At 43.0% G+C, this 16,036-nt stretch overlaps 1 long non-coding RNA gene across 3 annotated transcripts in view; it reads right to left on the bottom strand.

The window, feature by feature from the left end:
- Nucleotides 1-7,951: 7,951 nt before the first annotated feature.
- Nucleotides 7,952-16,036, bottom strand: part of LOC107987088 (uncharacterized) — a 57,909-nt gene continuing 49,824 nt past the window's right edge. The window contains exons 2-4 of one of the 3 annotated variants that reach the window (XR_001746809.1): nt 13,323-13,353; nt 12,348-12,448; nt 7,952-8,014 (exon numbers count right to left, since the gene is read on the bottom strand). This is a non-coding gene — a long non-coding RNA (uncharacterized LOC107987088). Of the gene's footprint in view, nt 8,015-12,347; nt 12,449-13,113; nt 13,354-16,036 lie in introns of all 3 variants that reach the window. The other 2 variants (XR_001746807.1, XR_001746808.1) reach the window with 2 other exon arrangements.

Below are 16,036 nucleotides of genomic sequence, written 5' to 3' on the forward strand. Positions count from 1 at the left end.
TCCCCATCTTTGTGGTTTTATCTACTTTTGGTCTTTGATGATGGTGATGTACAGATGGGTTTTTGGTGTGGATGTCCTTTCTGTTTGTTAGTTTTCCTTCTAACAGACAGGACCCTCAGCTGCAGGTCTGTTGGAGTACCCTGCCGTGTGAAGTGTCAGTGTGCCCCTGCTGGGGGGTGCCTCCCAGTTAGGCTCCTCGGGGGTCAGGGGTCAGGCACCCACTTGAGGAGGCAGTCTGCCCATTCTCAGATCTCCAGCTGCGTACTGGGAGAACCACTGCTCTCTTCAAAGCTGTCAGACAGGGACATTTAAGTCTGCAGAGGTTACTGCTGTCTTTTTGTTTGTCTGTGCCCTGCCCCCAGAGGTGGAGCCTACAGAGGCAGGCAGGCCTCCTTGAGCTGTGGTGGGCTCCACCCAGTTCGAGCTTCCCGGCTGCTTTGTTTACCTAAGCAAGCCTGGGCAATGGTGGTCGCCCCTCCCCCAGCCTCGCTGCCGCCTTGCAGTTAGATCTCAGACTGCTGTGCTAGCAATCAGCGAGACTCCGTGGTCGTATGACCCTCCGAGTCAGGTGCGGGATATAATCTGGTGGTGCACCGTTTTTTAAGCCCGTTGGACAAGCGCAGTATTCGGGTGGGAGTGGCCTGATTTTCCAGGTGCCGTCCATCACCCCTTTCTTTGACTAGGAAAGGGAACTCCCTGACCCCTTGCGCTTCCCGAGTGAGGCAATGCCTCGCCCTGCTTCGGCTCGTGCACGGTGCGCGCACCCACTGACCTGCGCCCACTGTCTGGCACTCCCTAGTGAGATGAACCCGGTACCTCAGATGGAAATGCAGAAATCACCCGTCTTCTGCGTCGCTCACGCTGGGAGCTGTAGACCGGAGCTGTTCCTATTCGGCCATCTTGCGAAGTTGATCAATTCGTGTTGTTTTAAAGACACCAAGTTGGTGGTAATTTGTCATAGAAGCAATAGGAAATGATATACCACCTGGCCTTCTCTCAGATGGCTGTCCTATCTCCGCACCCACTTCTCTGCAATTCTCCAAACTGAGAAATCTATGATAAGGAGGTCACTGGATCTGAAGTCAGAAGTCCTGGCCTCATATGCCCACTCTTTATGTAACAGCTGTCTTCACTTTGCCAGGTTCCCAAGTTCCCTTAATTGTACTTGGCCTGAGGATAGATAAATCAGAGCCATAATTTTTGCCTTCAAGGAGCTCACAGCTGAGTGCATTAGACAAATAGGCAATCACAGAAGATCACTGGACAATGTGTACTGAGAGAGGCAAAGGCAGAGCTCTAGGGGAACTCACACGTGCTTGCAAGCCCTTCACCCAGGCTGGAGGGAGGGAGTGAAGCATGGCAGGGAGGACTTTCCAGAGGAGCTAATGAGATTACTCAAGCCCAGTAATAAGACTTCCACTAATTGCTAACATTGTTAATGCTATCTGCCAGCTCTGCACTGGACTGCTGGCGCTGGGGGAGCAGAGCTCATATGGAGCGCGATGTAAGTGTGCCATCCGGAGTTAGGTGATGCAGCAGCCTTCCCTGGCAGTGCCAAATGCTTTACACAGGTGAGTTCATTGAATTTTTGCAGTCACAAGCAAGTGACTATTTTTAATCTGATTTTCCCCACAAATAAACTGAGGCACAAAATGAATAAGTAACTTGCCAGAGCTCCTACAGTTAGTGAGGGGTGAGAAGTTCTGAGAAAGTAAAACCCAGTCTTTATCCATAGCTCCTGCTTTTAACCATTCTTGAAATGGATATTATTTTTCTCAGACACGGACTGTGTAACTCAGTGGTGCCGAAACAAAATATGGTGTATTTCTCTATGATGAAATGTAAAGTAGCTCCAAATCTCAATTTCTACTTATGAAAAGAAGAAGAAGGCAGCAGTTTAACCTTAACACTCAACCACACGTGGGTTCAACTTAGTAACTGCTAGTTTCCATTAGTTGCTTTTGGATGAAAGCAAAATTCAGAATGTACCCCTCCCTCCTATCTTTCCTAGGGGACGTCTGAGTTTAGAGATACCTTATTTGGCATAGTAGTGTCAGAGTTGACTGAGGCTGTCAGTTCCACGGGCTCTCTGTCCTTCTTAGTCCACCTGCTAAGGTGCTGTGGCCCTCAGGCTGCCGCTCAGTAACTTCCACACCTGTCAGATGTCTTGGGCTATTTCAAAGTCAAGGGGGAGCCTCTCTCTGCACCAGTATTGATTCTCCAGAGTTCAATTCCAACTGCATGGTGAGCTAATGCTGTGACCTTGGACATGTTGCTTAACCTAAAATGCCTCAATTTTCTCCCCGTTAAATAAAGAAGATAATCGGAAACCTTTGTGAGGTCTTTGTAGTGTGTTAACTTGGCTAGGTTAAACCACAGTCCCAACGTTTTTTCCTCTTCTATTTCTGGTTACAGTGGGAACCAAGAGAGACTCTTGTTGGAGGTTTGGAGGGCAAAGCAAAGCAGCTGCCATGCTGCAGCTCACATGTGTCCTGGCTCACCTGCCAGCTCACCTCAATGGTGTGAGGCCACAGCTGGGCCTGCAACTGCTCCCCATTCCCTTAGACTCTCTCCTTCAGCTTCTCTGGCTCCTGGGCCAGCTGTGTGTGTTTAGTTCCATGATGAAGGGCCCTGGCTTTTGGAAGGCAGCCACACCAGCAAGGTTACAGGCAACAGGAAGTGATACTGTTTCCAATCTGTCCTATGGATTCCACAAGGCTCCAGGTCATTTTACTGGTTCCAGCTTGTCCTTGCTCTCCCTCAATTTACATCCATCCTCCCTCCCCTACTGCCTGCTCTGTGGATTGCAAGCTCCAACATCAATTGTAGAAACAGCAAATGCAAGAGCCATACAGAGGCTGCTGAACCAGCTCCCACGATTGCATCAGGTCAGATCTCTGTAGGAAGTATGTCCCTTGAGTGGTTCTGCCTCTCTGATTGAGCCCTGACAGATGCTTCTCTCCAGATGCTGCTGTGAGATCCACTGAGGCAATGATGGAAAGCCATTAGAGGAGATCCTGGCACACAGGAAGCCCTCAGTACTTGGCGAACATTGTCATCTAGGAAAACAACAAGGGTTTGGAGATAAGACAACCCTTGATTCAATCCTAGATTTGTAGCCATGTGTGTTTGACCAAGTTATTTCTACCTATAGCGTTGTTATGAGGATCAGGGACGAGGTACGTGCAGGTCTGAAGCATAGTCAGTGCTTATCCAGGATAGCCAGTACAGTTGTCCAAGCTGTGCACTGCACATTCCTGGGGTGCCACTGAGTTGAAGTCCATGTGAGTGACTATCTAGGGAGTTGCTCAGGGAGCAGTCGGGGTGGCGGTGTACAGCAGTCATCCATAAAATGATCCCTAACTGAACATAGGTTGTGTTATTATGGTAAGATGTTTAGAAAAACACAACCTAAGTTCAGTTAGCTACTTTCTATCCCTCATCACCAAATACCATTAATCAAAATCAGGTTTCCAGCAGATTGTTGATAAATCATATTTTCCATCTGTGTTAACCTAAGACCCACCCATTGCCATTATCATTCCTGAATTGATAAACACTATCAGCACTTAAATTTTTTTTCAGGGGGGTGCATATTAGGAAGGGAGTCATAAAATATTGTATAATTCATCAGTGATTTATTTGTGCCTAGCTATGATGATTTTGGAGTACATAAAGTCTGGGAAAATGGAGGAAGATTTTCCTAGGGGAGGGTGAATGGGAAAAGTCCAGAAATAACTGGTAAAAAGATGTTCAGAGAGTGGATGGCATATACATAGAGGTCTGAAGGACTGAAGATAAACAAAAGAATGAGAGTTTTTTTGTGAGTGTTTTTTTGGTTTTTTTTTGTTTGTTTGTTTTTTTAACCAAGTAGTAGAGTTGTATCCAAGTTAAAAGCTAACTTCTGCAAGAATCTTCATAAGGAAATATGTCTTCTCAATTCCCCACGATGGGGCATTCCCTTTCGAATGCCTTTCAATGAGAAAGCAGTGCTTTTAGATAGACGTACATAGTGACTTTGTCCCATATGAGATGTTCAATGGTTGTAAACATTTGGGAGCAAAGTGGAGATTTAAATTTAGGCATCAAATACCTGCCTTTGCAGGAGCCTCTTATAGAGATGCATGTAATAACGCTACCACAGTGAAGAGAGGAGCACTGTAATGTAACCAGGACATCTGGAGCCTTCCAACTAAAAATCAGAGTGAATTTATATGCTGACAAGCCACCAACACACAGGCCTCGGCCAAGGTATTCACAGTGATAGGAGATTATGGGCTGACTGCTCTTTTCTTAAGCTATAAGCATGCAGAATGCTCCTGTCTTCTCTCTTTGTCTCTTCAATGTTTCTCTCTTTTCCTTTCTCCTTTCTCTCCTCTTCCTGTGACTCAATCTGTGTCTCCTTTTCCTTCCCTTCTCTCTTCTCTTCCCTTATTTTTTCTTTCTTTCTTTAGTGTTTGAGCTTTGGAAGCAGACCACCTGGGTTTGAGTCCCAGCTCAGCCACTTAACAGCTGTGTGGCCTTTGGTCAGTTTCTTAACCTCTTTGTTTCCTTGCTAGGATGGCAACCATCATGTCTACCTCACTGGTAGTGTAAGGATGATGTGAGAAGATCCTTATAAAGTTTTTATCAGAGTACTGCACACTTAGTAAGGGCTCTGTCATGTAATCAATTCTAATTATTTTCTCTCTCTTTTTCTTCTTTTTCTTTTTCCTTTCCTCTTTTTCTGTCCTTCTTCCATTCTCCCCTCTTCTTGCTCACCACCAAAAGTAACTAAGGAGAGATGAAGAGTTGAATTCCGGAAGGAATCTCAAGTCTTCATCTGTTTCACATGCGACCTTACATCTTCTGGCCAGGGATCTTTCCCACACATCACATAAAATCCCTCTGCTTGCAACCAAAGTCCTTTCCATTTCATCCTGCCCCTTGCAGGAAAGGTGAAATTCAGGAAACACAGTTCCTGCTATTTGTTCAAAGAAAAACTTGACATTGTTGTATAGTCCACATCAGGAAATGATTTTATACCTATGTTCAAAATTGTATATTTTAAATCTCAGATGAAAATACTATATCATAGATAAGGAAATCTATGGTGCTATAGACTGAACATTTGTGTCCTCTTAAAATTCATAAGTTGAGATGTGATGGTATTTGGATGTGCATCCTCTGGGAGAGATGCTAAGGTCAAGAGAGTGTTCTCATGAATGGGATTAGTGCCCCTATAAGAAGAGACACGAGAGACATGATCCCACCACATGAGGATACAATGAGAAGATGCTATCCATAAATTAGGAAGACGGCCCTCACCATATACCTAGTATGCCAGCACCCTTATCTAAGAGTTCCACCCTACAGAACTGAGAAAGAAACTTCTGTTGTTTAAGCCACTGAGCCTATGGTATTCTCTTATACCAGCCTGAACTGACTAAGACAAGAGGTAACCACAGTTACAGGGTTTCAAGATTTCTCATTGCATAATTTCACTTCTTCCTTAAGAAAGAAATCCTTGAGGAAAATGGCCAACAAAGGAATCCCAGATTCTTTAACACATGATCCCCCCAGGAGGCTTCAGAGAGCCGGGTGCTTCTGCTAAGCAGTTTGGGTACCATAGGCGGGCTTGTGATACCCTTGTCAAGTTCTTCTTAGAGGCCTTGTACACTAAAATCCTAAGAATGAGGTCTTTATCTTTATTCTTTAGACACTTTCGTTGGTGTTGTGGGAGGCCACTTAATACCAACCTTCACTCAGGTTCTGAAAAGTCAGCAGTAGGCATTTAAAAACTGAAACCCAAACATGTCCAGCAGTCTCCATGCTTATATTTTTTTCCTATCAGCTGTTAGTTATCAGTGAAAACGAGGAAGATCAATAAAAACAAGAAAAGATACCTGCAGCAAACTCAAAGCTGTTTTTTTTTTTTTTTTTTTTTTTTTTAGGAATACAATCAGTAGGTATCGTTTTGTGCCCTCTGAGCAGAACCAGCGTGGAAGGCCCTGATGGAGGAAGAAAACCATTAAGAGACTAAGCATAATTAACCATTAGAATTCATTAGTGAAAACTATCAGAGTACTTTGCTAATTCTGCAGATTTAAAATTGGGCTTAATTTCTAGAAATAGACATGCAGAGGAAGTTTCTACTGGTAAAGTTGTTACGGACATTTGCAAACCTCTTTTCATCTGCAAAATGATCTTCAGGTTCTCGTATGTTCTCTGAGAACCTTGCCCTCTCCACAACTGTGAGAGACCCCTGGTCCCCAGGACCAATCAGAAAGAACTTGGAAAGTGAGAGATTTCTAATATTTGTGGGTTTATTTGTTCATTTGCTCATTTATTCATTCACTTAACAAATGTTGATTGAGTACCTACTATGTGCTAGAGACCACTGTAGGGGCTGGGAACAGACATGGAAACAATGGGCAGAACACTCTGCTCCCAGGAACTCACACTCTAGAGCAGGGGTCAGCAAACCTTTTCTGCAAACAGCCAGATAATAAATGCTTTAGGCTCTGTAGGCCACATGGCCTCTGTTGCAATTTACTTGATTTTGCTGTGAGAGCACAGAAGCAATCAGAGACAAAATGCAAGTTAGCAGGAGTAGCTGTGCTCCAATATAACTTTATTTACAAAAATAGGTGGTGGGCCAGAGATTCATGATCAAGTTTACCTTGTATTAGTCTAATTTCATGCTGTTGATAAAGACATACCCGAGACTGGGTAATCTACAAAAACAAAGTGGTTTAATGGACTCACAGTTCCACATGGCTGGGGAGGCCTCACAATCACGGCAGAAGGAGAAAGGCACATCTTACGTGGTGGCAGGCAAGAGAGGATGAGAGTCAAGTGGAAGGGAAAACCCCTTATCAAACCATCAGCTCTCATGAGACTTATTCACTACCTCGAGAACAGTATGGGGGAAACTGCTCCCATGATTCAATTATCTCCCATTGAGTATCTCCCACAACATGTGGGAATTATGGGAAATACAATTCAAGATAAAATTTGGGTGGGGACACAGCCAAACGATATCACCTTCCATTTAAGTCTTCCCCATTTTCTTGTTTTAGTAGCCTGCTGCATACCATACTCATTTTATCAGCCTCCTTCACCCTGTTTTCAGGGGAGCAGTTCTGCCCATTGGCCAGGCCCACGCCCTGCCATCAGATTTCAGTGACACTCCACCATTAGCAGTTTAGATAACTAAACACCTATTAGCTGAGAACCCCAGATGAATTCCGTCATGTGTGATTAGCTTCTGGATTCTCTGTCATCAGCCTCTGCTCACCTTCTGGAACATTGTGTGAGTGAGTCTCTGTAGACTCCCCCATGCTAGAGGAAGGATTAGACTATGCCCTTCCATCTGTTGCCTTTTGTCTGCTAGTCTGGACTTTCTCCTAAGACTTCAAAATGTTAAGGGACCACTAAGGCCTGCTCTACCCAGTAAGCAATTCTAATTTCTGAATCTAGTTTAGAACCCATCTGTCTAATCTATTGCACTGCAACGAAACAGTAAAAATTCAGCCACATATCATAAAGATTATCAATTATTTTAATACATTTGGCTTTAATATTGCTTGTTAAGGTGTTTTGTAATATGTAAAGGGGAACAAAGGAGAGAAGTGTGTGCATGTGGATGTCCATGTGTGGTTGTAGTTGGAATATGATGAGAGAAAGCAGTTGTGGACTTGTTTAAATGGAATGCACAGTTGACCCTTGAACAACGTGGGGGATAGAGGGACACCAGCTCCCCTACCCAGTCAAATCCACACGTAACTTTTGACTTCACAAAAACTTAACTATTAATAGCCTGCTGTTGGCCAAAAACCTTACCAATAATACAAACAGTTGGTTAATACATATTTTTTATGTTATATGTATTATATACTATATTCTTTATAATAAAATAAGCTAGAGAAAAGGTTATTTAAAAGTCATAAAAAGAGAAAATATACGTACTACTCATCAAGTGTAAGTGCAACATTATAAAGGTCTTCATCCTCATTATCTTCATGTTAATAGGCTGAGGAAGAGGAGGAATAAGAGAAGTTGATCTTACTGTCTCAAAGGTGGCAGAGGTAAAGAAAATCCACATATAAATGGACCCACACACTTTAAACCCATGTTGTTCAAGGATGAACTGTAAATGCAACAAGGTAGAGAACATTCTGTGACCTTGACAGCTGGAACCAGATTTCCACCCAGGTACAAAATTGTCTTTGTTGGAAAAATGCTGTGTAGGGTTACAAGTGACTCACTCTCTCCCCTTCCTGCTGGGTGAAGTTTCAGGTGGGGGGTGCTACTTGTCTTAACAGAGGAAGAAAAATTGCAAAGTCTTAGACCAATCCAGTGGAGAGGGGGTAAGGAGCAGAGACATAGGGTTTAGAACAAAAAGAAAAATGGCACCAATGTGGTGGCAGAAAGGCTAACCCAGAAAACTATTCAGTAAATGCCACTAACCCCAAAAATATTTGGAGTAAGAAGTATTTGTTGATTCTTGGTTAGTGACAATGAAGAAGGATCTGTGTTTCCACATGTGAGGCATCCCACAGACAATGATGAACAAGCTGGAGTTGAAGAGGCCAAAGAAGCAGGAGAACTTAAGACTTCCAGGAATTCTCAGAAATATTTGGACGAGCTTTGGACTGTCTCGTCTCCTCAAATCTCAAGGACTGACATGCGGTTCAGAATTGACATGCCTGAATTATGTAAGAAAACCCCAAAACAAAATTGCACCTACCTTAAAAGCAAGATATTCTAATTAAATCAGTACTAGAATTAATGTGAAAAAAGCAAAATTCATCAGTGGAATTTCCAACATCCTCTCCCTAAACATTTGACTCTCTGATGCAATATTCCCTCTAGACACCAACCAGTGTTCTGTGTGGTCACAATTGTCCCATCTTTTAATCATAGTAAAACTTACTTCAGGAATAGCCTATGAATTTGTCTATATAAAAGTCTGAGAGCTGACAATGTTAAGACCACTTCAAAGGAATATGGACCAGAGCCTCAGAATTAAAGCCTAAAATGCATGCAGTGGGATTTCATGGACAATTGGCATGCAGGAAACATTCTGGGCAGAGGCACATCCAAGTGTTCTTAAAATCACATCAAGGCAGAAAACTTTAAGTTGGAGCACTACCTCACACCATATAGCAAAATATATTTTAAATGAATCAAAGAATGATACCCTTAACTATGAAAAAAATTATGAGCCTTTTACATTGCAAAAAATAAAAATAGCAAAGCCAAAGAAATATGGCACAGTGGGAAACAAGTTATTTGCAACCCACATTAACAGTCATAGGGCCTAATTTCCTTAATATATCATGATTTAACAACGTCTCCATTCATGTAACAAATACTGATTGTTTGCCCACTATGTATCAGCAAAATTCCAGGCATTGATTTGTGGATACAGTGAGTAAACAAAATAGATAAAGTCCCTCTTCTCATGCAGCCTATATTCTGGAAGGTGTGTACACAAGTTGTGAGAGATTTTAAAAAAAGAAACCCAAACACATCAATGAACAAAAGCATAAACCGGCAGATCTCTTAAAAACAAATATAAAAAATGACAACTCTTAGTTATTCAGCACTTTCTGTTCTAAGGGATTTATGTTGCATCAAATCACTTAATCTTTACAACTCTATATGATGAATACTGTTATCTTCATCTTCATTTTAAAGACATGAAGAAATAAGTATTAATAACTTGCACTAAATAACAGAACTAGTAAGTAATATATCTAGGGTTTGAACCTAGGTAGCCTGCCTCCAGAACTCACACTTCTTAATCATTAGGTTTAACTAGCTATTTATTTATTTATGTAACTTTAAAAAGTTTTTTATCTTTTCAGAGACAGGGTCTCACTCTGTTGCCTGCAAGGCTGGAGTACAGTGGTGCAATCACAGTTCTCTACAGCCTCAAACTCCTGGGCTTCAAGCATCCTCCTGCCTCTGCCTCCTGTGTAGCTAGGACTAAAGATGCATGACACCATGCCTGGCTAATTTTTTAATTTTTATTTTGTAAGATGGGGGCTCTCACTATGTTGCCCAGGCTGGTCTTAAGCTCCTGGCCTCAAGAGGTCCTCAAGCCTTGGCCTCCCAAAGTGCTGGGATTACAAGCTAATTTAGGATTGCAGCCTAAATTAGATAGTAATAACTGAAAATATACACTTGATTTCATTCACAATTTTAACTGCAAGTTAAAATATACAGTTGATTTCATTCATAATTTTAATTGCAAGTTAAAACAACTAGGTGAAATGGTATGACATTTTCACCTAGCAAACTGGTAATAACAATAAGCCTTAGTGCTAAGAAATACACAGGGGAAAGGATCTCTTACTGACTGTTGGTGAGAGTGTGAATTGGTGCAACTTTCTTGGAGGGCTGCTTGTCAGTGTGTATCCAATCTAAAATCTATGCACCACTTAGCCATTCTACATCTAGGAATTTATTTTCTAGTTATATTCACTAATTTGCGCAAAGCTGTATGTATAAGGATTTGAAATTTGGTACTTTTGTAATAGACAAACCCTGAAGATGATTTAACTTTTATTAATAAGAAAATAGTTAATTCAAACGTGCTTCATTCAGTCAAAGGAATACTATGCTGCTATGAAAAAGAAGCCAGATTTGTACTTTCTGACATGAAAAGATCTTTTCATTATATTACTAAGTTTTAAAAAATCAAGAAAGCAAGAGCCAGGACAGTGGTATAACTTGCTCCTATTTGTATAAAGTAAAAGGAGACCCACATGGACACACTCACAAAGAATACACAAGAAACTTCTAATGTTAGTTCTTTTGAATTGGGAGCCCAGGGTGGAAGGATGACTCTTTTCATTGTTTAACTTCTCCTTTTTTAAAAAAAATGCACATATTTGTCTTTCAGTTGAAAAATATTGTTTAATTGAAAAAATACCCTGTAAGCCTGTATTTACAAGCCAATCTTGAACACTAGAATAACCCTGAAATTCCCATGAGGGCAATACTGGGCAGTAGATTCCCAGGGCATGAGGCTGCCCCTCCCCTGCACCTTTAGAGATCAGGGTCTATCCTTGCCCAGCCTTGAGGGAATCAGTACCCGAAACCATCAAGGCAATTCCATAAATGGGAATTTGCCCAGTGCAAAAACCAACATAATACCCTTCAGAGTCATCCAGACAGGCTGGTTCCCTACATGATAGTCTGCAAACTTTTTCTGTGAAACGAGAGAAAGTAAATAGTTTAGGCTTGGGCAGAGGGTTGGGGGGGCACAAAGATGTGGTTCTTGCCACGTGTCTTTTTGGTTGTTATTTTCAAACTCCATTTAAATATATAAAACCCATTCTTAGTTCTCTGGTCAAATAAAAACAGGCTGCAGGCCAGCTTTGGCCTTCAAACGGTTCTGTAGTTTTGCTGACCTCTGCTCTACATGAATCACAGTGGGCAGCGGACAGAGATTCCATGGCAAGGTAGAGGGTTTGCCCCTTCTCTCCCCAGACAGTGCCACCACACAGCTGGTGTCGGCAGATGGATATTTTTCCTGTGCCCTAATAGGCTGGTGCCCAAGGGCATATGCCTCTCTCTGCTCCACCCACCTGTTACCTCCCTGGTACGGGAAATGAAATCTTTTCTTTTTTTTTAACTTTTAAGTTCAGGGGTACATGTGCAAGTTTGTTACATAGGTAAATTTGTGTCATTGGGGTTTGTTGTACCTATTATTTTATCACCCAGGTATTAAGCCTAGTACCCATTAGTTATTTTTCCTGATCCTCTCCCTCCTCCCACCCTCCACGCTCCGATAGGCCCCAGTGGGTGTTGTTCCCCTCTATGTGTCCATGTGTTCTCATCAGGGAAATGGAATCTTAACTCAGTGTCTGACTTCTCACTCTTCTCTTAAAAGTGCCTCCCCTGCTGTGAACCTAAAACTGCTCTAAAAAAATGGTTTCTGTGATTTTTGTTTTTTGTTTTTGAGACAGAGTTTTACTCTTGTTGCCCAGGCTGGAGTGCAGTGGCGCGATCTCGGCTCACTGCAACCTCTACCTCCCAGGTTGAAGCGATTCTCCTGCCTCGGCCTCCCAAGTAGCTGGGATTACAGGCATGTGCCACCAAGCCCAGCTAGTTTTTTGTATTTTTAGTAGAGACGGGGTTTCATCATGTTGGTCAGGCTGGTCTCAAACTCCTGACCTCAGGTGATCCACCTGCCTCGGCCTCCCAAAGTGCTGGGATTACAGGCGTGAGCCACCGTGCCTGGCTTTTTTTTTTTAAAGGGGCCTCCCCAATTCCTCTCTGTGCCACCTCTTCCCTCCCTGGAGCCACCCAACCCCCACTCATTCTGTATTTGTCTTCTGGGGTAATCTCACCTCTTTGTCACTCATGTAAGGCAGAGAGAAGTAGTTGACCTTAGGGGTAAACGCAGGAGCTCTCTTCCCTTCTTTATCTCCTCCCCAGAAGTAAGTGCCTGCTTGTAAGATCAACAAAAACCTCTCAGTACTGGCCCAGGTCTGAGCAGCCCTACCGTAAGTGCCTCTAGCCTATAGACAGCTTGTTTGTGTGTGAGTTCTAAAATTTCTGTCACTGGAGCAGCATTGACTAATTTTCCTGTGTGCTTTGAATAGTGCCTAGGAGAGCAATGTGAGCACATGGACATTTTATGAAAGAACTATCTGATAATGATAAACAGGCATCTGGAAAGAACATCATTTTACCAAAAAAAAAAAAAAATTCTGGCAGCAGCATGAGATTATGGAGAAAGGATTTTAGTGTTAGCCTTTGGCACAAAAAGATGGGAGATTCCCAAGTCTGATAGATGAGCATGCTGTCTTTATGGGGAGCGATGACAGAAAATTGTGGTGGTTTAATTTCTTTCACCTGGGCTGCATGTGGGCTGTTTCAGAGAAAAGCAGACTCCCAGGTACTCTGAGTTCAGGGTAGGTCCAGGGAGGAAAATAAGATGTGGTCAGTGGCAGCAGCTGTTTGTACTTCCTCCCTGGAACTGGAGCATGGTGCTAACCCCAGCTGTGGAAAGAGCCATGAGACTGAGAAACTGTGTGGTTTCAGTGTGTGTAGCCATGAAACCCCAAAGACTTTGGTTCTAGCTTAGGTTGATTACAGATTTGGACAACTTACATGTTGATTTCCTCATGTGTAAAATCAGGAGGTTGGGCAATGGTGATATCTGATGGCCCTTTCAGCTCTAATATTCTATATGTCTATAACACTAGATTGAAAATTTTAAATTCTGAGCCAGAACTCCAAGCCCAGGTGTTTCCTCATATGAGGGTTTTTCTCTTTGTGGAAGATATAAGAAGTTATATCTTCTTCAACTGTCAATTTACCATCTTCAGATCCCTTTCTCCATCAATGAACCTAGAAAGAAAAGGAATGTGTCAAAGTCATTGCATACAATTTTTTTTTTCATTATTTAACAGAAATTTGAATGCCAGTTGTGTGCCAAGCACAATGCTAGATCCAGGGGACTCAGCAATTGAAACGTTAGCCATGGTCTTAAACCTCATGGAGCTCACAGTCTTGAGTCAAATCAAGCATGGTATGCAAGGGAAGCAGAAGATGCCATACAGAAGACAGGAAGGGCACCTCTCCCAGTCTCAAAATATCAAGGAAAGCATTTGGGAGGCAGAATGTTGCAGACAAGGGGGACCAGCATCTGCAAAGACTGAAAGGCAATAGAGAAAATGACACACTCTAGAAACGAAAGACATCCTGGAAGAACAGGGCTAAGAATGTGAAGGGAATATGGTCACGGATGAGACAGGAGAGGCAAGCCAGGTCACCGGGGGACGAGTGATAGCCTAAGGGCCATTGAAGGATTTTTAAGGACGGGAGCGACAGGACCACATTTGAATTTTTGAAAGTGCATTCTGGCTACAGTGCAGAGAAACAGCTGTGAGGGAGGAAGAATGGAAGTAAGGAGCTCGGTTAGGAGGTTGCCTCCATTATCCTGATGAGAGAGAGATAATGATGGTCTCACCAGGATGGTGGCAGGAGGGATTGAGAGAACAGTGGGGAGATGTGTGCTTGACATTTAGAGTCCATGAGAGGTGGTCACCAATTGCCTGTGGGCAGTGACAGGAAGATTGAGGGCTAGGCCCAGGTTTCTGGCTTGAGGAGGGTAGTAGAGCTGTTTGTAGAAGTAGAGGAGCAGGCATGGAGCTAGGGGAAAGAGATGGTCAACTTGTTTACAGACATGTTGAGTTTGACAGCCTTGGGGGACAACATCCTGGTGAGGAGGTGATATGGTTTTGGTGTGTCCCCACCCAAATCTCATCTTGAATTGTAGCTCCCATAATTCCCACATGTCATGGGAGGGACCTGGTGGGAGATAATTGAGTCATGAGGGCTGTTTCCCCCATACTGTTCTCATGGTAGTGAATAAGTCTCACGAGATCTGCTGGTTCTATAAGGGGCAACCCCTTTCACTTGGTTCTCATTCTCTCTTGCTTGCTGCTGTGTAAGATGTGCCTTTTTCCTTCTGCCATGATTGTGAGGCCTCCCCAGCCACGTAGAACTGTGAGTTCATTAAACCTCTTTTTCTTTATAAATTACCCAGTCTCGGGTATGTCTCTATCAGCAGCATGAAAATGGACTAATACAGATGTCCATTAGTATTGGAAGCTCAGGAGAAATCTCTGGCCCAAAGACACAAATCTGAGACTCACGGGAATTGAAGTCAATGCAGGGGTTGGTGATCCCTGGTACAGCGTGCACAGTGATGAAAGGTCCAGGTCTGCATCATGAAGCGAACTGGCATTTAAGGAGGGGCAGAGGAGGAGGATCTTCCAAAGGACACCAGAATGAGAATGAGTGGCAAACCAGGAATGGGCGAGATTCGAGGAATCAGGAATGGGTGAGATTCGAGGAACCAGAAAAGGGTTCCCTGTGAGAGAAGAGCCAGCACCAAATGCTGCACAAACAACGGCAGAAATGACTGGACAATGAAAGCCTTTGACAACCTCGGTGAAAATTTCAAAGGGCATGACGAGGATGAAATTCAGGCTGTGGTGGGTGGAAGGTAGAAGTAAGGAGTGGAATTCAGTGCATTGACTGCTCTGTGAAGAAGTTGGGCTGTGAAGGGAAGAGAAAGATGGAAACAGGTGTGCAAGAGCATTTTTTTTTAAGATAGGAGTGACTTAAGGATGTTTACATGCATCTAAAGGGAAGGAGTCAATAGACAGCAAGAGATTGTGATTGCAGAGAAAATGGGAGGCAGGGGGGTCAAAGAGAATTCTCAAGAAAAAGAAAGGGTAGTTGCAGTATTAGCTCATTCATACCTCTTTCCTTATAGGAAAGGACAGGTAGGAGTGTGAAGAGAAGAGAGCAGGGGAGTGCCAATCACTTGGGGGATTTCTTGTTTAATATCTACTAATTTCCCCATAAATTCCTGGTTCCCTGCCCTTGCTCATGGTGCAACTTTCACTTTGAATGCTTCTTCACTCACTCTCTGAAAGTCCTACCCAGCTGCAAGGTCTAGGTGGTCTGCAGCCCACCCCAGCTTCTCCTCTGCTCTGCACAATTACAGACTGAACCCATTTTATGGACCTCCAGAGATTGCCTAAGCTTCAATGCCTTGTCTCTCACACCAGACTGGATGTTCCTTGAGGGCAAGAACCAGACCATGGAATTTTAAACCTTTCCCATATGCCGGGATACAGCAAATACTCCACATACAATTTTTGATTCACTGTCTCAAAATTGAAAAAGTGTCAGTCTTGACTTTTAGCAAGAGCTCCCTCACTCTGACCTCTTAGAATAAGAAATGGGGAAGGCAAAGAAAATTTCGAACCAGGCAGCTCAAGGTAGGTATGGAGTAAGGTGGGTGTGGAGCAAGTTAGATATGGAGTCTCCATATTAAGGACTTTGGGGACCTAGAAGATGGAGTTAAAAGTGATGGCTTGGACACTTATCAGCATTTTTTTTTGTGCTGGGCAAGTCAGTTAACACCTCTGAGTCCCAGTTTCCTCTTCTCTAAATTGAGGTTAAAGTTACTTACCTAACTAGTTATGGAAAATACCAAGTATCCTTGTTGTTTAAG

This window comes from Homo sapiens, chromosome 9, assembly GCF_000001405.40.
Source record: "Homo sapiens chromosome 9, GRCh38.p14 Primary Assembly".
Classification (NCBI taxonomy): Eukaryota; Metazoa; Chordata; class Mammalia; order Primates; family Hominidae; genus Homo; species Homo sapiens.